At 39.5% G+C, this 20,178-nt stretch overlaps 1 long non-coding RNA gene across 1 annotated transcript; it reads left to right on the top strand.

Annotated features, from left to right (window-relative positions):
* On the top strand, positions 11,310 to 12,285 carry LINC00412 (long intergenic non-protein coding RNA 412). The gene is made up of 2 exons (NR_120429.1): positions 11,310 to 11,869; positions 11,980 to 12,285. It is a non-coding gene; the product is annotated as a long intergenic non-protein coding RNA 412 (long non-coding RNA).
* The last annotated feature ends 7,893 nt before the right edge of the window (positions 12,286 to 20,178 follow it).

The raw sequence follows: 20,178 nt of genomic DNA, 5'->3' as shown, positions 1-20,178 counted from the left end.
CACAGTCAGGGGTTCAAGCAGAAATAAGCAAACCTGGCTTAACATTTTCTATTTTGTCTCACATTATTCTATTTAAAGATTATTTCATGTCATTTCTTTGATTATCAAACCTTCCTTTCTCCCACCTTTCTTTCAGCTGATGACTGCCTCTTTTTTTGAGACTCTCTTAGTCCCCAGGCTGGAGTGCAGTGGCATGATCTCGGCTCACTGCAACCTCCACCTCCTGGGTTCAAGCAATTCTCATGCCTCAGCCTCCCAAGTAGCTGGGATTATAGGCGTGTGCCACCACACCCGGCTAATTTTATTATTTTTGGTAGAAACAGGGTTTCGCCATGTTGGCCAGGCTGGTCTTGGACTCCTGACCTCAAGTGATCCACCTGTCTCAGCCTCTCAAAGTGCTGGGATTACAGGTGTGAGCCACCACGCCCAGCCAACTGCCTCATTTTTATCAGTGTACAAACATGCTCCCAGCCAACTCCATCATTTTTATCCATGTACAAACAGGCTCTGGTGTTCCCCACTAAAACCCGCAACTCTCTTCTTTCTGATTCTGCTTGATCTCATATTCCTTTATAACTACTGCCCCATATGTTCATTTTTCTTCTGTCAAATGTAAAAAAAAAGGAGTCATGAAATTTTTGGTTTTGTACATCAAAAATTGTGAAAGTTCAGCAGTGTCATACAGTTTAATACATAAACACTATTATCTCTTCCTCATCTTTCATTCAGCTTCAGTTTCATTTGACTTCTGTTCTAGTCATGTCATTAAAGCTGCTCTTGTCAGGGCATCAACTGCTTATATGTTGCCAAAGCCAAAAGACATTCCCTGTTCTTTCCTTTCTTGATCTCCGCAAAGCACTGGACTCTGTTGGCCAGCTCTTCCTCCATGAAACACTACCCTTCCTCACCACTCCACAGTCTGATTTGCTGATTTTCCCTCCTCTCCCTGTCCTATAAAGACTACATTTCCCTGGGTCTTGGAGCTAGGCCCCTGCTCTTCTCTTTCTGTACTGCCTTCCTGGTTAATTCCATTTACTCCTATAATTTTAAATTTCATCTCTGTGTTGCTTACTACCAGATTGATTTATGTGATTCCAGCCTTTCCTCAAGATTGCTATTCAACTTGATATCTATTCTTGGATACTCTTTAGCATCTCAACATGTCCAAATCTTTTATTTTTCTTTTCTTTTTTTTTAACTGCTCCTTGTGGAGCAGGGCTATCCCATAGGCAGCGTGCCTAGAGTAGCCAAAATTAATTGTATGTGGGTACTCTACTGTTTAACATCCCCACTACAGTTCCCCAGTTAATTTGCTTACCTTCTGTCAACTTAAAAAAAAAATCAAGCTTTTACATAATTAGTTTTATTTAGAAGTCTCACTGAGGACTATAGACCAACGTTTATACCCTTGGTATAACCTTATGGGATGTGTTGTAAGTTTTTATGGGATGTTTTTAAGTTTTAGATATACTTTTTTTTTTTTTCTTTTGGAGACAGGGTCTTGCTCTCTTGCCCAGGCTGGAGTGCAGGAACATGATCATGGCTCACTGCAGCCTCAACCTCCTGGGCTCAAGCCATCCTCCTGCCTCAGCCACTGATGTAGCTGGCATCACAGGCATGCACCACCACACCTGGCTAATTTGTAAAAATTCTTTTGTAGATATGGAGTCTCCTTTTGTTGCCCAGGCTGGCCTTGAACTCCTGAGCTCAGGCAATCCTCCCACATTGGCATCCCAAAGAGCTGGGATTGCAGGCGTGAACCCCTATGCCTAGCTCATAAAACTTTTTATTTTCTGCCAGATGCAGTGGCTCACACCTGTAATCCCAGCAGTTTGGGAGGCCGGGGCAGGCAGAGTGCTTGAGCACAGGAGTTCGAGACCAGTCTGGGCAAGATGGTGAAACCCTGTCTCTACAAAAATACAAAAATTAGCAGGGTGTGATGGTATGCGCCCATAGTCCCAGCTGCTTGCGGGGCTGAAGCAGGAGAATCACTTGGGCCCAGAGGTTGAGGCTACAGTGAGCTGTGTTCATGCCACTGCACTCCAGCTGGAGCGACAAAGTGAAACTTTGTCTCAAACAAGAAAACAACAACAAAAAAACTTGATTTTTACCCTGAAGCCTGTTTCTGCTCCAATATTTTCCATTCAGTACATAGCATAATCAAGAAACCTTGGTTTTGCCTTTAAGTTTCCCTTTATCCCTTCCGTATGGAATCCATTGGAAAGTTTTGTTCCAGTTCTGATTGTAAAATATTAATATATTAATGTATCTCCAGCTGACCTACCTCTTCCCATCTCTGTGGCCACGCCACTAATACGTCTTATTCTGAACTACAGCAATGGCATCTTTATGGTCACTTTTTTTTCCTCTCTTGCCCCTGTTCTATCCATTTCCTATATAGTGGCCAGGGTGATCTTTTAAAAATATAAACCTGATTATATCACACCCTTGCTTACAGCCCTCCACAGGCTTTCTGTTGCTCTTAGAATAAAATCTAAATTCCTTACCTTGTCTTACAAAGTCCTGTATAAACTAGATCGTGCTTATCTTTTCAGATTCCTGTCTCCCTCACTTTCTTGTGTCTCTCTCTGCCTTCTTCAATTCCGTAAATACTTCAAGTTTTTTCTAGTCTTGGGATCGTTATGCATGCTGTTCCCTTTGTTCTTCAGTAGCTTGATCTTTCTCATCTTCTTGATTCCCGAAAGAGGCTTCCTAAGAGAAGTGATGCCCAAGACATTAAAACATGAATGGGCGTTAGATGAAGACAAAAGAGCATTCCATCGTAGAAGACAATGTAGCATGTGACGGTGAGTACAAGCAGTGTGGTGTTGCCCATGCAAGACAAGAGTGATGGGAAATAAAGCCAAAAGGCAGATGGTGAAGGTTCTTACCAAGGTGCCAAAGAATGCTGAATCGAGCCTGTGAGGCTGGAAGCAAAATGGAGTCAGCTATGCTAGACTTCTCTCACTTTCTTTTTTTTTTTTTTTTTTTTTTTGAGATGGAGTCTCACTTTGTTGCCTAGGCTGGAGTGCAGTGGCACAATCTTGGCTCACTGCAGCCTCTGCCTCCTGGGTTCAAGCAGTTCTCCTGCCTCAGCTTCCCGAGTAGCTGGAACTACAGGCGTGCACCGTCACGTCCTTCTAATCTTTATGTATTTTTAGTAGAGACAGGGTTTCACCATGTTGGCCAGGATAGTCTTGACATCCTGACCTCATGATCCACCCGCCTCGGCCTCCCAAAGTGCTGGGACTACAAGCATGAGCCATCACCCCTGGCCTGACTTCTGTCACTTTCATAATCTTTGTAAAGGTGGTTTCAACCTCATGTCACATACCTTAGGGGTAAAATCAGTCTTGGACACTAAACCTCTCAAAGGTTTTGGTGAAGATGTGTGTTTTCACAAGTTTATCAAATATGGAGTTCTTAGCACTAGTATTCTGATTGAAGATCTCCCCAATTGGAATAACTTACACATTACTGGAGGACTCCAAAAACTGGTGAAAATTACAGCAATGAATGAGAATGTCACTCTCACAGATCAGCCCTCGATAGAATTCTGGAGTGCTGTGACCACTGTTTTCCTCATGCTCCCTGAAAGCTTTTCTGAAGGAAACCTCTCTACAGAGATTGCCGGACTGTCCTATTTAGATTAGTATGATTGGTGCCCAAATGTTCTGCAAGGAGGAGATTTGTTATTTGAAGACTCTGCAGATAGCCTGTCCTCACTCAGCACTGGAGTGGCAGCAGTCTTAGTTGTAAATTACATCACCTCATGCATGGTTCCTGTGTTAACTCTGTGATTTGCTTTCCTACCTCCCAGGTCTCCTTTCCACATGTCTACACTTATTGTACCAGGGTAATTTTGTTTTTAATATTTATCTTGAAACAATTTCAAACTTACAGAAAAGTTTCAAGAATATTACAGAAGACCCCTGTATGCCCTTTCTCTGCATTCACTGATTGTAACATTTCACCACATTTGTTTTCTCATTCTCTCTGTATCAGTGGTTTTCAAAGTTTAGCATGTATCTGAACGACCAGGAAGGCTAAGGTTAAAACACAGACTCCTGGCCCCCACCCCAGACAGGTGATTTAGTAGGTTTGAGTTGAGCCCAAGAATTCGTATTGCTAACAAGTTCCCAGGTGACACTGCTGCTCCTCCAGGGATCCCACTTTGAGAACCACTGTTTTCTCCATCTATGTAAACACACTGTATATGTTTTTTTCTAAATTGTTTGAGAGTGGGTCACACATATCTTTTCCTCTTTAGGCCATATACTGTACTGATTTGTGTCTCCTAAGAATGAGGACATTCTCTCATATAACCACAGTACATTTATCAAATTCAGGAAACAAAACTGATACAATGCTTATATCAATTTTTTTTTTTTTTTTTTTTTTTGGACAGAGTCTTGCTTTATGGCCCAGGCTGGAGTGCAGTGGCATGATCCTAGCTCACTACAGTCTCCACCTCCTAGGCTCAAGCCATCCTCCCACCTCAGCCTCCCAAGTAACTAGGACCACAGGTGCCACCACACCCAGCTAATTTTTTAATTTCTTATAGCGAGGGGGTTTCACCATGTGGCCCAGGCTGGTCTTGAACTTCTGAGCTCAAGTGATCTGTCTGCCACAGCCTCCTAAAGTGTTGGGATTGCAGGCTCCTGGCTGGTATCACATTTACAATCCACATTTCAAATGTCAGTTGTCCCAATAATGTCCTTTATGGCATTTTTTTTTTACATGATCCAGTCAGAAATCATATGTTGTATTTATTAATAGTCGCTGTGTCTCTCTTAGCTTTTAATCTGAAGCACTTCAGCCTTTTCTTGCCTTAGGTGACATTCATGTTTCTCTAGTCTGCAGGTCAGTAATATTTGCCCTGGTATAAGCAGCGTTTTCTCCCTTATGTGCCATCTGTTTGCACGAAGATCACGCAAATATCTTGCTTCTAAACAAACTTTCCCTCCTGGATTAAGTATTCATCGTGATTCTTGCAATTTTTACTGTGATGGTTACAAAGCGGTGATTTTCCAGCTCCACTTCTACTTCCACATTAAGGAAAGGGTTTCCTTTTTTCCCTATTCATTTATTTTATTCGTTCATTTACATGTCTAAATGTTAACCTCTTTTCCCTTTCCCTCTAAACCAATTGTGTTCCTCAGGGATGTCAGAGTCTCCTTTAAAGGACAAGGTGGAAAGTGAGAGGGTAGAGCCCAGGCCCCTCACCCTTGCTGCTCCCCGAGGAGTGCCACATTTATCTGCTTCCTATAGTAAGGTTCATTTACAAAACAAGCGGTCTGCTACTTTTTTAAAAGTTTGAAAACCACCATCTTAAATAAATATCCTCTGTGCCCATTACAAAAAAAGAAAAAAAGAATGCTTAATCTTTTTCTATAGACAGTTGAGAATCTGACTCGTTTTAACCAAAGGCATGACAGTGGTAGTGATAGCTGATATTTCCTGAGGGCTCATTCTATGTGCCAGTAAGCACTTACAAATATTATCTTACTTAATTCTTATGAAACTCCTAGGAGGTAATGGGTGGTACCTATTCCTATGCATTTAGAAGATTCTACAGTGTACAAAAAGTCGCTCTTCAGGTTTTTCCATTGCTGTTTTGGGATTGAGCTTTCTCAAGTCACCTACGTCAGCTGGCATTTGTCCATCTGTTTTTCAGCTTTCAAAATGTTGCTGTTATTTTTTATCTTCCCCATGCATATGGTTTAGGTCGTTAGACACACACACACACCCACACACACACACACACACGCACACACACCCAATGGGATTCTCGGAGGTAACAAAATTAGATGAGGGTATTTAATCCATCATTTTAATCTGGAGCCCCTAGGGATGAATTATTTAGATGCAGGATACCTAATAATTAGTTTAACTCATATTGTTTTAGCTGAATTGGATGTTGAAGGCATTCCAATACTAAATGAGGAGTTGGGTTACGGAGTGGACATTGGGACATTGTTTTTTAGCTACTCAAACTCATTCCTTCTTCCTACTAGACCTCCATTTACTTGGGGGCCTTAACTCCTGTCCCATGTGCATATTCTTAGGAAGGTACTCCCTACCCACATCAAAACTAAGGGGACCAGAATTGCACTCTCCCTGCTCCAATAAACATAGGGTAGACATCCCTTCCAGTCAACCCCCTCCCTGACTAAAAACAATATTCTGATTTCTGTTTGATTCATTGATTGAGATGGGATCTTGCTATGTTATATAGGCAGGTCTTGAACTCCTGGCCTCTAATGATCCTCCCACCTTGACCTCCCAAAGTGCTGGGGTTACAGGCATGAGCCAGCCTGCCTGGCCAATATTCTGATTTCTATAACCATAAGTTAGTTTTGCCTAATCTTGGATTTCCTATGAATGGTACCATACAGTTTGTACTTTTTTTTCCTGTGGCTCTTTTTGTTTAGCTGAATGTCGTTGAGAATCAATCATATTGCATGTACTAGTAGTTCAATTCTTTTTATTGTGAAAGTAGTATTCCACTGTAGAATATATCACAATTTATTTTTCTGTTCTCCTCTTGATGGCAGTTTGAGTTGTACATAATTTTTGTGGGTCTCGCTGTGTTGCTCATGCTGGAGTTCAGTGGTGTGATCATAGCTCACTACAGCCCCAAACTCCTGAGCACAAACAATCCCCCTATCTCAGCCTCCAGAGTAGCTGGGACAATGGATGTGCGCTACTGAGCCCAGCTTAGGAGTTACATTCCTTGATCGTAAGGTAGGTGTATTAGTCTGTTTTCACGCTGCTGATAAAGACATACCTGAGACTGGGTAATTTACAAAAGAAAGAGGTTTACTTTGACTTATAGTTCCATGTGGCTGGGGAGGCCCCACAATTATGGTGGGAGGTAAAGGCACGTCTTACATCACAGCAGGCAAGAGAGAATGAGAAAGATGCAAAAGTGGAAACTCCTGATAAAAACATCAGATCTCATGCGACTTATTCACTACCATGAGAACAGTATGGAGTAAACCACCTCCATGATTCAAATTATCTCCCACCGGGTCCCTCCCACAACATGTGGGAATTATGGGAGTACAGTTCAGGATGAGATTTGGGTGGGGAACGCGGAGGCAAACCATATCAGTAGGTGTATGTCTAACTTCATAAAATATTGCAAAATGGCTTCCCAAAGTAAATCCCAATTTTATTAGCATTTTTCTCTCAAGAGGATAAGGAATTTATTTTTACTATAGCCTTTTAAAATAGGTTTGTGTCATTAGCTCCAATGTACAGATCTGAAAAACAAAGTGGCTTCCTGATTCACTAATGGTCAATGTGTCTCTAGTTTGAGACCGTTAATATAAAGAGAATAAGAAAAGAATTGAAGCTTTAAAAGAAATATGAAGTAAATTACATGTAGAAAATAGGAAATATCAAAATTCATTCAATATTTATGAGCTTCTAGATTAAATCAGATACTGTACTAAGTGATGAGACCATGAAAATGAATAAAACATGATCCTTGCCGTCAAGGAACCCACAAAGAGTCTGGTAGAAGAAAAAAGCAAGTTCATTACAATATTCTAAGTGATTTAATAGAGGACACTGAAAATGAGTGACATGGGAGTTCTGTGGAGGAAGTTACTGCACCTAGATTGGAGGAAGGGGATGGGAAGAGAGTAGAACCCCTGAACGAAAAAGGGAGCTTCACAGAGGTTTGACTTGATAAGAGTAGCACTTTAATCAGAGAACGAATAGTAAGGGCATTTAAAGTAGAGGGAACAGCTTATGTAAAGGCATAGAGATGGATAACAACTTTAGGATGTTGGAGTAGTGAAAGTTGTCCAATAGTCTTAGAAAATAAGAGCAACAAATGAACAGGGATGTGGCTTATTAAAATAAGGGAAACTTATAATTTTCTGCTAGGCTTGAGTAAAACACTACACAAAACACAACTTTTGGTCATTAAGCTGAATTTACGTCTATGTATTTCTATTTTTGTGTTTTCCCTTGTGAAGGGATTTTAACAAAGTAGATATTTTATTTTGGTTTTCAGAAGACATTGGCTGATTAATTCCAGGAGGACAAATTTTCCAAGCTAGGAGAAAAAAAGTTCTGTCCTTTATGTGAGAGGCCCAGTTGGTCACCTCTTTTGAGTATCTCACCACTCACTTATTATTTGTCCTTTGTCCTGGTAGATTGACAGGAGAACAATTTCAAGTAAGAACTGATTAGGAGTTTCTAATGTAGAAAGTATATAATGAGAATTCTTGTCTCAAGAAAAATGTCACTGCAATGACAGCTAAAGTAATGAGGGTTAGAAATACTGTGAATAATTGAAAAACATATCATGAAGAATAATTGTGTAAAATAATCTTTTCCATCAAACTTTTTTTTTTTTTTTTTTTTTTTTTTGAGACAGAGTCTTGCTCCGTCACCCAGGCTAGGGTGCAATGGCGCCATCTCGGCTCACTGCAACCTCTGCCTGTTGGGTTCAAGCGATTCTCCTGCCTTGCCCTCCTGAGTAGCTGGTGGCACCCACCACCATGCCCAGTTAGTTTTTGTATTTTTAATAGAGACAGGGTTTTGCCATGTTGGCCAGGCTGGTCTCAAACCCCTAACCTCAAGTGATCCACCTGCCTCGGCCTCCCAAAGGGCTGGGATTACAGGCATGTGCCACCGTGCCCGGCCCCATCAAACTTTTTATTTGAGATCCTGAAAAACAGCAGAATGAACAAGACAAAAATCTATTTTTTATTTTATTTTTATTTTTTGCTACTTATCCTGAAGTTCTAAAAATCTGTTTTTTTAATTGAGCAAGGCAAAGATTGTGTTCTTCCTTCCAAAATCTGATTCTTATCTGAAAAGCATAAGGCATAAACAGGCTTGTAACCATGTAATTGGACATTCAAATTGAATCCTAACCCCCTAGTACACGTCCTCATTGTCCGCAGCCAGATTTTTCTGTCTCAATCCTGATTTTTGTTCCAGACTTCAAAAATGTCTTCAGCTGCTCTAGACTCTAAGGCCAGTACAACATGAGGCAGAACCGAATCAAATACTAGAAGTATTCAGATGGGAAATGTGTTGAAGTGGTGAAGCAGTTGGGGAAGTCATTGCAGTGGTTTATAGAGGCCCAGTTATATTTCAAGAATAAAGCACAATTTGGAATGTGGAAACTGCTTCACTGTCAATATTAGACTTTTGACGTAGATGGGAAGTATTTAGTAGACTGTTAGGACTTGTAATGAATTCAGAGAGACCAGCTGGTCAGTTGAAGTCAACAATGTTCACTCCTAATAATTATATTAGTTTTTCTAGCTAACGCCACCTGGAGCTATGCACATATTTTCCTGGCAAAGTTACTTTTTGTATTTGTAAAGAAGGAAGGAAGAGGTTCACCCTCTGATCCCACACAATTGCTTCTTAATGATTTTAGGTGAAGGCAGACAAACAAATTTCACTTCTGTTGTTAGCCTTGATTGATTGGTTGATTATGGCTACCTGGACCTCAGTTGAGAAGCTTCTAAGGTTAATTTCAGGCTCATTGAAAATTAAAGATTATGAATACCTGATGTGCTCCCTGGGAAGAAAAGCACCTGTATATTCTGTATTTTTGTCACCTCTGATTTAGATAACTAGTAGTAGAAATAATTTTACTCAAAGAGGCAAGGGCCTGCACAGGAATGGGAACAGTCCAGGAGATTGGATGGGGGACATGGCTTGTAAGGGGGTACTCTGGAAGAGAGGGGTCCCTATACCAAAGCTAGTAAGAAAGAAGATATCTTTTTCCATGGTGGGAAAAAAGCAAGAGTTTTGGAGCCAACAGACTAGTTTCCAGCTCTGTTCTACAGCTTTCTGTAAGCCTATTTCTTTGCCTTTAAAATGGAGGCACAAATAATTGTTTAGAAGGGGTTTGGATTTATACTACCACATGAGACAATGAATGTAGAACATCGTTTCTATTTTGTCCGGTACCTGGCAGCTGGTGGATACAAAGTGTATCCTGCTGTCCTTGGCCATTTCTCTCCTCCTAGCCCAGCCAAACTCAGAAGTCTGGTCTGTGCAGTCCTGAGTGTCACAGACTTGCAAGGGATCTGTGAGTCAAAACTGTTTTCATAATAATGCTAAGGCATGATATACTTTTACTTTTTTACCCTTGAGTCAAAATTTTTTTTTTTCTTTTTCCTTTTTAGAGCCAGGGTCTCGCTATGCCGACCAGGCTGACCTCAAACTCTTGGGCTCATGTGACCCTCCCGTCTCAGCCTCTCTAGTAGCTGGAACTACAGGCAAGAGTCATAGAGCCCAGCATCCATATCTTGTTAATGTATTTTATGTGACAAAGCAGGAAGTATGCATACAGCGCTGTAACATTGTGCTTTCCGATCAGTATGATGGTTGGCTGGAGGAAAAGTACTTGGCTATTGTTTGACTTGACAGCTGAACTTAGCCACCACTTTATTCCATTGAACAGTTTTTACGTGATAGATTGACAAACTATGGTGCTTCAGACTTGGATATTTGGCAGACATTTTTGAAAAATGAACTAAACCAGATTGCCACTTCAGTGAAAACAACTGATGATGTTTGTTGCCAATGAAAATTTGAGCTTTTAAGTGAAAATTCGTATTTTGGAAAACTTGTATCCACAACTGTGAGCTTTAGGGCTCCCCAAAACTTAGATACTTTTCTGATGAGATCAGTGATGATATTAACAAATATGTTTTGTTTTACTTTGTATAAAAAATGTGTCAGTATTTGGATGATCTGCATAACTGAGTGAACCCTATTTTCCAAATGACTGATACGTAATGTTACAAAATAATAAATGAGAAAACATCCATTTGAAGAGTAAAATAGATCAATAGGTTTTAATGTAACACAGTAGGAAAACTTCATTGCTAGGGTTTCAGATTTCACACTAATCTTTTTAAAAAATATGACACTTAAGGCCTGGTGCGGTGGCTCACGCCTGTAATCCCAGCACTTTGGGAAGCCGAGGCGGGCGGATCACCTGAGGTCGGGAGTTTGAGACCAGCCTGACCAACATGGAGAAACCCCGGCTCTACTAAAAATACAAAATTAGCTGGGTGTGGTGGCACATGCCTGTAATCCCAGCTACTCGGGAGGCTGAGGCAGGAGAATTGCTTGAAGCTGGGAGGTGGAGGTTGCAGTGAGCTGAGATGATGCTGCTGCACTCCAGCCTGGGCAACAAGAGTGAAACTCCATCTCCAAAAAAAAAAAAAAAAAAAAACCTGACACTTGAGCACTGGAATAGGATCAAATAAGGATAGATGCAGTTTTCTGGAAAGGTTATTCAAATACCTTTGGTTATTAAAAAAAAGATTGTAAAAAGGTTATTCTCCTTTTTATAACATCTGTGTGAGGCTGCATTTTCTTCATATTCCTGTACTTCAGCCAAACGGCATATGGCAATAGATTTGATGCAAAAGCAGACACGAATATCTCGTTATCTTTGATTAAGCTAGACATTAAGTAAAGACATTGGAAAACACTAAACATTAAAAACAACGCCACACTTCTTAACGTATTTTTTCTGGGAAGTATTGTTATAAAATGTTATTTATGTTAACATGTAGGGTTTTAAAAATTATTTTTATGTAAGTTAATGAGTATACAAATTCTTCATTTTAACTTCTGATATATGGTAAATATTGATAGATAAAAATCACACAAGCAAAAGTTGTCACTGATCCTCAGTAATTTTTTGACAGGTAAAGATTTCCCAAGACCAAAAAGCTTAGGAGCACTGCCCCATTCCACTGTTCTGCTGCTGGTTTTGCTTTGACTCTCCCAGAGGAAAACCGGGGTTGTCACTGGAAGTTCCTGAAGTAATCTCCTTTTTTAGCAAACTTTTCATTATTACACTATTTGGGTGAGTCCCAGACCAAAATATGCACGTTCTCATGGTGATCTTGCTTCTGCTAAGTTTTCCAGGAACACAGGCTCATGGGATTATTTTCATTTTGCTTTGTTTCTGGGCAGGTCATGGTACAACTTTGCTGAATTGCCTTGAACTGAAGTATTGGATTTTTACTTTAATTTATCCTGTGATTATGCTGATTTTGCTTCACTGATATTCTGTCATGTCCTTAGATTTCTAATGAAACTGCTCAGAAATCAACCAGGTAAAATTTTATGGGAAAGTTAGGTGGGGAACTAGCACTTGGTTATGTTTGTATAAAAAGAAACCCACAAAATTTTTTCTCAAAACAGTGTTTCTGGTTGTCAAATGAAATAGGGGAGCAATTAGACTTCTGTCTGGTGAGTAGATTAAAATATTTCTGCTGACTGCTATTGTGTCCTTTCTGTACCTCTGAGGTATCATTCAGATACTTGGCTGTCCTCTGATGGAATAAGAAGAATCTGTGGTTGAAATATTTTGACTATAGTACTTGCTGACAAAAGGCAAAAACCCTTTTAACAATTAGAAAAATTACTCTGGCTAAAGTTTCATATATGCCAGGAATATTTGAAATAGACCTTATTTTTTTGAAAACTGACAATATAACCACTATAATGAACCACAATGCCATAAAAATATTTCTGCATAATAGTTAATATGAAATGCCTTTAAAAGTTTTAGTACTGGGATTTGTAGCGGAAGCATAAAATGCAATGTGAAGAACATTTCTCAGACATTAGTTTAATGCTATTAATTTGTACTTAGATTTCAAAATCTATAGATGCAATTTTACTACCAATTATTTTCTTCAAACTATTTTTAAAATACCTATGATGCTTAAATTTTCACTTCTGTAGTACAGTCCTCTCTCTATATCTGGGGGAATTGCTTCCAGAACTACTCAGATACCAAAATTCATGAATGCTCAAGTCCCTGATACAAAATGGCATAGTATTTGCATATAACCTACACACATCCTCCTAACAGTTTAAATAATCTCTACATTATTTATTAATATGATACCTAATACAATGTAATGTTATATAAATAATTGTACCATATTATTTCTGGTTTTTTAATTATATTGCCTTTTAAAATTTTTCTCTTTTTTTTTTTTTTTTTTGAGATGGAGTCTTGCTCTGTCGCCCAGGCTGGAGTGCAATGGTGCAATGCAGTCTCAGCTTACTGCAACCTCTGCCTCCGGGGCTCAAGTGATTCTCTTACCTCAGCCTTCCAAGTAGCTGGGATTACAGGCACGCGCCACTGCGCCCAGCTAATTTTTGTATTTTTAGTAGAGATGGGGTTTCACCATGTTGCCCAGACTGGTCTCAAACTGCTGACCTCAGGTGATCCACCCACCTCGGCCTCCCAAAGTGCAGGGATTACAGGTGTGAGCCACCGTGCCAGGCCTAAGTTTTTTTTCCAAATATTTTCCATAAGAGTTTGTTTGAATCCACAGATGTGGAACCCATGGATATGGAGGGCTGACTGTGTTTGAAAGCTGACTTATGTGCATGAATTTGGCAAGGTTCAATGTAAATTGTTTGCTAGAATTCGATTTAATTTTGGTCTATCTGGGAGAAGATTATTGAAACTGGAAAGTAAACTGTATAAGGAATGTCTAGGGGCAGTGGTCTGATTAACTTTGGCATGGTGAGTTTCAGATAATTATACTTCAGAGTTCATAAGGGCATGGGCTTTGTCACTATAGGTTTACCACTTCGTATCCAGTGCTTGGCATACAGCAAATGCTCAATAAATATTTGGGAAAAGATGAAAATGGAAGGGAGCAGTGAGCTAGCTCAACCAAATCAGCATTACTACAGATAATTTTAATATCAGTGACAGAATTCTAAGAAAATGATCGTTCACAGTTGCAGAGTCTTACAGAAGGAATTAGTGTTTAGGGTTCATTTGAGATTAACCAATGAATCTGACTTAGTTTACTTCCCAGCTGACTGGTTTCCTCAAGCAGTGCTCAGGGCATTCATTTGTTCATGAAGCATGCATTTATTGGTCACCTCTGTGACAGGCACTGTGCTGAAGATACATGAGAATAAAACAGGCATCCCTATGCACTTGAAGTTTACATTCTAGTGAAAAAAGACAGTTAATAAAAAATTATTTACATGATTACAATATATACATTATGACAGATGGAGAAAAGTGTTATGGAGAAAAAAATGAAGAAAGACATTACAATTTAACATAGAGTGAGCAGAGAAGACCTCTCAGGACATTTGAACAAAGATCTGAAGAAAGTGAGGAAGGGTGCCATGCAGGTATCCGAGAGAAGAGCATTACAACAGAACAAACACAAAGATCCTGTGGACAAAGTGTTCGATACATTTAAGCAAGGGGCCTGGGGGGGTTAATGGCTGGGTAACAGGAGAGGGAGGGTAGTGCGGAATGCAGGGAGAGGTAAGCACATTTTATGAGACGTTTAGGTATTGCAGGTACTTTGGATTTTATTCTGAGTGAGATATGAAGGCAGTAGAGGGTTTTGAAGAGGAGTGACGCAATCCTTATTTTTGTAAAAGATGACTCTGGAGTAGCTGTTAAGAACGAAGAGAAGGTAGTTGAAGGGAGAAACAGAAAATTCAACAATAATAAATGAAGACTTCAATACTCTGCTTTCTCTCTCTCTCTCTTTTTTTTTTTTTTTTTTTTTTTGAGTCAGAGTCTCACTCTGTCACCCAGGCTGGAGTTCAGTGGCATGATCTCGGCTCCCTGCAACTTCTGCCTCCCAGGTTCAAGAGAGTCTACTGCCTCAACCTCCAGAGTAGCTGGGATTACAGGTGGGCACCACCATGCTCGGATAATTTTTGTATTTTGAATAGAGATGGTGCTTCACCATGTTGGCTAGGCTGATCTTGAACTCCTGACCTCAGGTGATCCACTTGCCCCGGCCTCCCAAAGTGCTAGGATTATAGGCGTGAGCCACCGTGTAGGCCATTCCACTCTCTATAATAGATAAAACCCAGACAAAAAATTAAGAATGTAGAACACTTGAACTGTATTATCAAATAACTGGCCCAACTAACGCCTATAGAACATTTTAACAATAGCAGACTAGACATCTTCTTAAGTGCATATGGTACATTCTCCAGGATAGACCATATACTTGGCCATAAAACAAGTCTCAAAAAATTTAAAAGACTTAAAACCATACAAAGTATTTTATCAGGCCACAAACAAACATAAGAAATATTTTGGAAAATACAAATATATGAGAATTAAATGATGCACTGTGTTACCAATTGATTAAAAAAGAAGAAATAATAGAAATTAGAAAATTATTTGAGATGAATGAAAATTAAATACAAGAGCCTGGTATGGTGACTCATACCTGTAATCCCAGCACTTTGGGAAGCTGAGACAGTAGGACCACTTGAGCCCAAGAGTTCAAGGCCAACCTAGAAACATAGACCCCATCTAAAAAAAAATTAGTCTAGCATGGTAGCACATGCCCATTGTCCTAGCTACTTGGGAGGCTGAGGTGGGCAGTTCACTTGAGCCTGAAAGGGCAAGATTGCAGTGAGCCATGGTCATGCCACTGCACTCCAGCCTGGGCAACAGAGTGATAACTGTCTCAAGAAAGAAAAGGGAAAAAAAGGTATCGAAATTTCTGGGATACAGTGGAAGCAATGTACAGGGAATAGCTGTAAGCTCCTATATTAGAAAAGAAGATCTCAAATCAATAATTTGACTTTGTACTTTTGGAAAGTAGAAAAAGAAGAACAAACCCAAAGCAATCATAAAGAAGGAAATAATGAATAGAAAGGAAATAAATAAAATAGAAATCAATAAAACCAAAAGTTAGTTTTTTGAAAAGATCAAGAAATTGACAGACATTAATGACACTGACCAAGAAAAAAGTGAAGACTTAAATTATTAAAATGAGGAATGAAAGCATGAACATCACTACCAATTTTACAGAAGTTACAAATATTGTAAAAGAATACTATGAATAACTGCATGCCAACAAATTAGTCATGTGAAATGAGCAAATTCCAAGAAAGATAAAATGAAACTGACACAAGAAGAAATAGAGGGTGAACACGGTGGCTTACATCTGTAATCTCAGCATTTTGGGAGGCTGAGGCAAGCAGATCACTTGAGCTCAGGAGTTCAAGAGCAGCCTGGGCAACACGGTGAAAACCTGTCTCTACAGAAAAAAGTACAAAAATTAGCCAGGTGTGGTGGCTAGCTAGTTGTCCCAGCTACTTGGAAGGCTGAGGTGGGAGGACTGCTTGAGCCCAGGAGGTCAAGGCTGCAGTGATCACACCACTGCATTCCAGTCTGAGAAATAGAGTGAGACCCTGTCTGAAAAGAAGAAATAGAAATCTAAGTAAATTTAAAGCAAGAGATTGAATCAACAATTTAAAATCTTCCCCAAAAGCAAAACCTAGGCCCAGAAAATTTCACTGGAGGATTCTACCCAACATTTAACAAAAATTGCTTACAAATCTTTCACAAACTCTTCCAGAATATAGAGGAAAGAAAGCTTCCCACTTGATTCTATGAGGCAGTATTACCTGATGCCAAAACTGGACAAAGACATTACAAAAAAACTACATACCAATATTCCCCATATGTTAAGATGCCAAGAAACCCTTAAGAAAATACTAGCAAACCAAATCCAGCAACGTATAAATACGATTATACAGTTTGACTAAATAAGACTTATCTTGAGAATGCAAGGCTGGTTTAATATCTGAAAATCAGTTACTATAATACATTTTATTAATGAAAGACAAACACATCCTCATTAGACATGCTCATTTTCAAAAAAGCATTTCAAAAATTCAATGCCTATTGATTTTTTAAAAACCTCAACAAACTAGGAATAGAAAAGAATTTCTTCAACATGATAAAGAGCATCTAGAAAAATTTTATAGCTAACATCCTACTTAATAGTGAAAGACTAAATGATTGTCTCTTAAAATCAGAAATAAGATGCTTACTCTTACCGCATCTATTCGACATTATCCTGGAGGTTCTATCCAGGTTGTTGAGGCAAGAAAACATAAAGGCATCTAGAAAAGTAGGAAGTAAAACCGAAATCCACCTTTGCAAAAATTGTAACTGAGAAAATTATTACAGTGAAAGAGATCTGACTTAACCGACTCCATCTTGCTTCTAACCTGCAAGAGCTGTCCTTGCTCATTCCTGTAGGCTGAACTAACTTTAGAAGGAACTTAGTTTATAGTTTAACTTTGAAATAAAGACAATAACAGCCCCTTCCCAAAACAAACCCCCTTCTTGCCTGGAGAGTAGACTGCCTTTGCAGGACTAACAAATTAGCCACAAGATTAGAAATTATGATTTAGGAGTCACTGTTGTAAAACCTGAGATCAGTGCTTGAGGTATTTTGCAGACCCTGCATTCCAGTGCATCACCCAGATTGGTAAATTAGTTTGCCTGGTCTTGTCCCCACCCAGGAACTGATTCAGCACAAGAAGACAGCTTTGACTCCCTGTGATTTCATCTTCGACCCAATCAGCACTTCCTACTTTCTGACCCCCTACCCACCAAATTATCCTTAAAAACCCCAATCTCCAAATTTTGGGGGAGATTGATTTGAGTAATAACTCATACCCACAAGGTATGGCTGGCCTTGTGTCAGTTAAACTCTTTCTTTACTGCACTGCTGTGGTCTTTATTGTGCAGCAGGCAGGAATAACCCATTGGGTGGAGGCAGTTACAAAATTCTTCATTTCCAGATGACGTGACTTTGTATGTAGAAAATTATGCACAGTTCGGCTGGGTGCAGTGGCTCACGCCTGTAATCCCAGCACTTTGGGAGGCTGAGGCGGGTGGATCACGAGGTCAGGAGATCAAGACAATCCTGGCTAACACCGTGAAACCCTGTCTCTACTAAAAATACAAAAAAAAGAAAAAAATTAGCCAGTCGTGGTGATGGGCGCCTGTAGTCCCAGCTACTCAGGAGGCTGAGGCAGGAGAATGGCATGAATCCAGGAGGCAGAGCTTGCAGTGAGCGGAGATTGTGCCACTGCACTCCAGCCTGGGCAACAGAGTGAGACTCCATCTCAGCAAAAAAGAAAAAGAAAAAAAAATTATGCACAGTTTACTATAAAACTACAAGAACTAATAAGTTCGTCCAAGTCACAGGATACAAAATCAATATACGAAAGTCAAATGTATTTCTGTATACCAGCATTTAATACTTTGAAACTTGGTCGGGCACAATTGCTCACACCTGTAATCTCAGCACTTTGGGAGGCCAAAGCAGGCAGATCATGAGGTCAGGAAGTCAGGTCCAGCCTGGCCAACTTGGTGAAACCCAATCTCTACTAAAAATACAAAAAAAAAATTAGCCAGGCGTGGTGGCATGCGCCTGTAATCCCAGCCGCTCAGAAGGCTGAGGCAGGAGAACTGCTTGAATCCGGGAGGTGGAGGTTGCAGTGAACCGAGATCACACTACTGCACTCCATCCTGGGCGGCAGAGCAAGTTTCCATCTAAAACAAAAAAAACAAAAACAAAAAAAACCCTAACAATAAGAAAAACATTCCATTCACAGTAGCATCAAAAAAGTATGCAATACTTAGGAACAAATTTAGCAAAAGCGCAATGCTTCTACTCTTAAGAAACATTGCTGAAAGAAATTAAAGAAGACCTAAATAAATGAAAGAACATAGTATATTTGTAGAGTGAAAGACTTAATATTGGTAAGATGGCAAAAATCCCCCAAATTGGTTTGCGTATTTAATGCAAATCCTATCAAAATCTCTGCTGACTTTTTTGGGGACTTTTTTTTTTTTTTTTTGAGACAGCACCTGGCTTTGTTACCCAGGCTGGAGTGCAGTGCCCCAGTCTTGGCTCACTGCAATCTCTGCCTCCAAGGCTTAAGTGATCCTCCTGCCTCAGTCCCCACAAGTAGCTGGGGCTATAGGCATGCGCCACCACACCTGGCTCATTTTTGTATTTTTTGTAGAGATGGGGTTTTGCCATGTTGGACAGGGTGGTGTCAAACTCCCAAGCTCAAGCGATCCACCTGCCTCAGCCTCCCAAAGTGCTGGGACTACAGAGCCACCACACCTGGCTGGGCATAAATTGATAAACTAAAATTCTTAGGAAATGAAAAGATCCCAGAATAGCCCAAAATAATCTTGAAAAATTGACTATAGTTTGAGAACTTAGACACACCCTCACTTCAAAATGTAATGCAAACCTATGGTAATCAATACAGTGTAGTATTGGCATAAGGATAAACTATAGACCAGTGAAATAAAATTGAGAACCCAGAAATAAACCCTTTCATTACAGTCGATTGATTTTTGACAAAGATGTCAAAATTCAATCGGAGAGAGTCTTTTCAAAAATGGTGCTGGGACAGTTAGACATCCATATGCAAAAAAAAAAAAAAACGTGAAATTGGCCTTCAGCCTCATACCATACACAAAAATCAACTCAAAATGCATCGCACACCTAAATTTAAGAGATACAACTGTAAACATTAGAATAAGACATGGCGTGTAAATCTGTGGTCTTAAGTTAGGCAATGATTTCTTATAAATGATAACAAAAGCACATTGGTAAAAAAAAATAATAAATTGGACTTTTGAATTTCAAAAACCACAAGAAAGTGAAAGATAACCCACAGAATGAGAGAAATATTTATAAATCATATATCCACTAAGAGACTTATATCCAGAATATATAAAGAACTCTTAACAACTTAATTGTTTTAATGGGCAGAGGACTTGAATAGATATTTCTAAAAAGAAGATACGTAAATCGCCAATAAGCACATGAAAAGATGACTAATGTTCTTAGTTGCCAAGGATATACAAATCAAAACCACAATGAGATACCACTTTATACTCACTGTAGTGGCTGTAATAAAAAAGATATAATAACAAGTGTCAGCAAGGATGTGGAGAAACTAGAACCCTCATGTTGCTGGTAAGAATGTAAAATGGTGCAGCCAGTTTGGAAAATAGTTTGAGAGTTTCTCAGAAGGTTAAACATAAGAGTTACCGTGTGACCCAGCTGTTCTACTCATAGGTATCCATCAAATATAAATGAAAACATTTTCACACAAAGATTTTTATGTGAATATGCAGAGCAGCAATATTCACAAAAGTAAAAAAGTGGAAACAACTCACATGTCCATCAGTTGGTGAATGGATAAACAAAATGTGATATATCTATACAATAGAATACTATTTGACAGTAAAAAGAAGTGAAATACTGAGACTTACTGCATGAATGAACCTCAAAAACATTATGCTTGGTGAAAGAAGCCAGACAC

The sequence above is a fragment of the Homo sapiens genome, chromosome 13 (genome assembly GCF_000001405.40).
Source record: "Homo sapiens chromosome 13, GRCh38.p14 Primary Assembly".
NCBI classification, from domain to species: domain Eukaryota; kingdom Metazoa; phylum Chordata; class Mammalia; order Primates; family Hominidae; genus Homo; species Homo sapiens.
The sequence above is the reverse complement of the archived record's forward strand: the minus strand, read 5'-3'. Positions and strand labels throughout refer to the sequence as shown.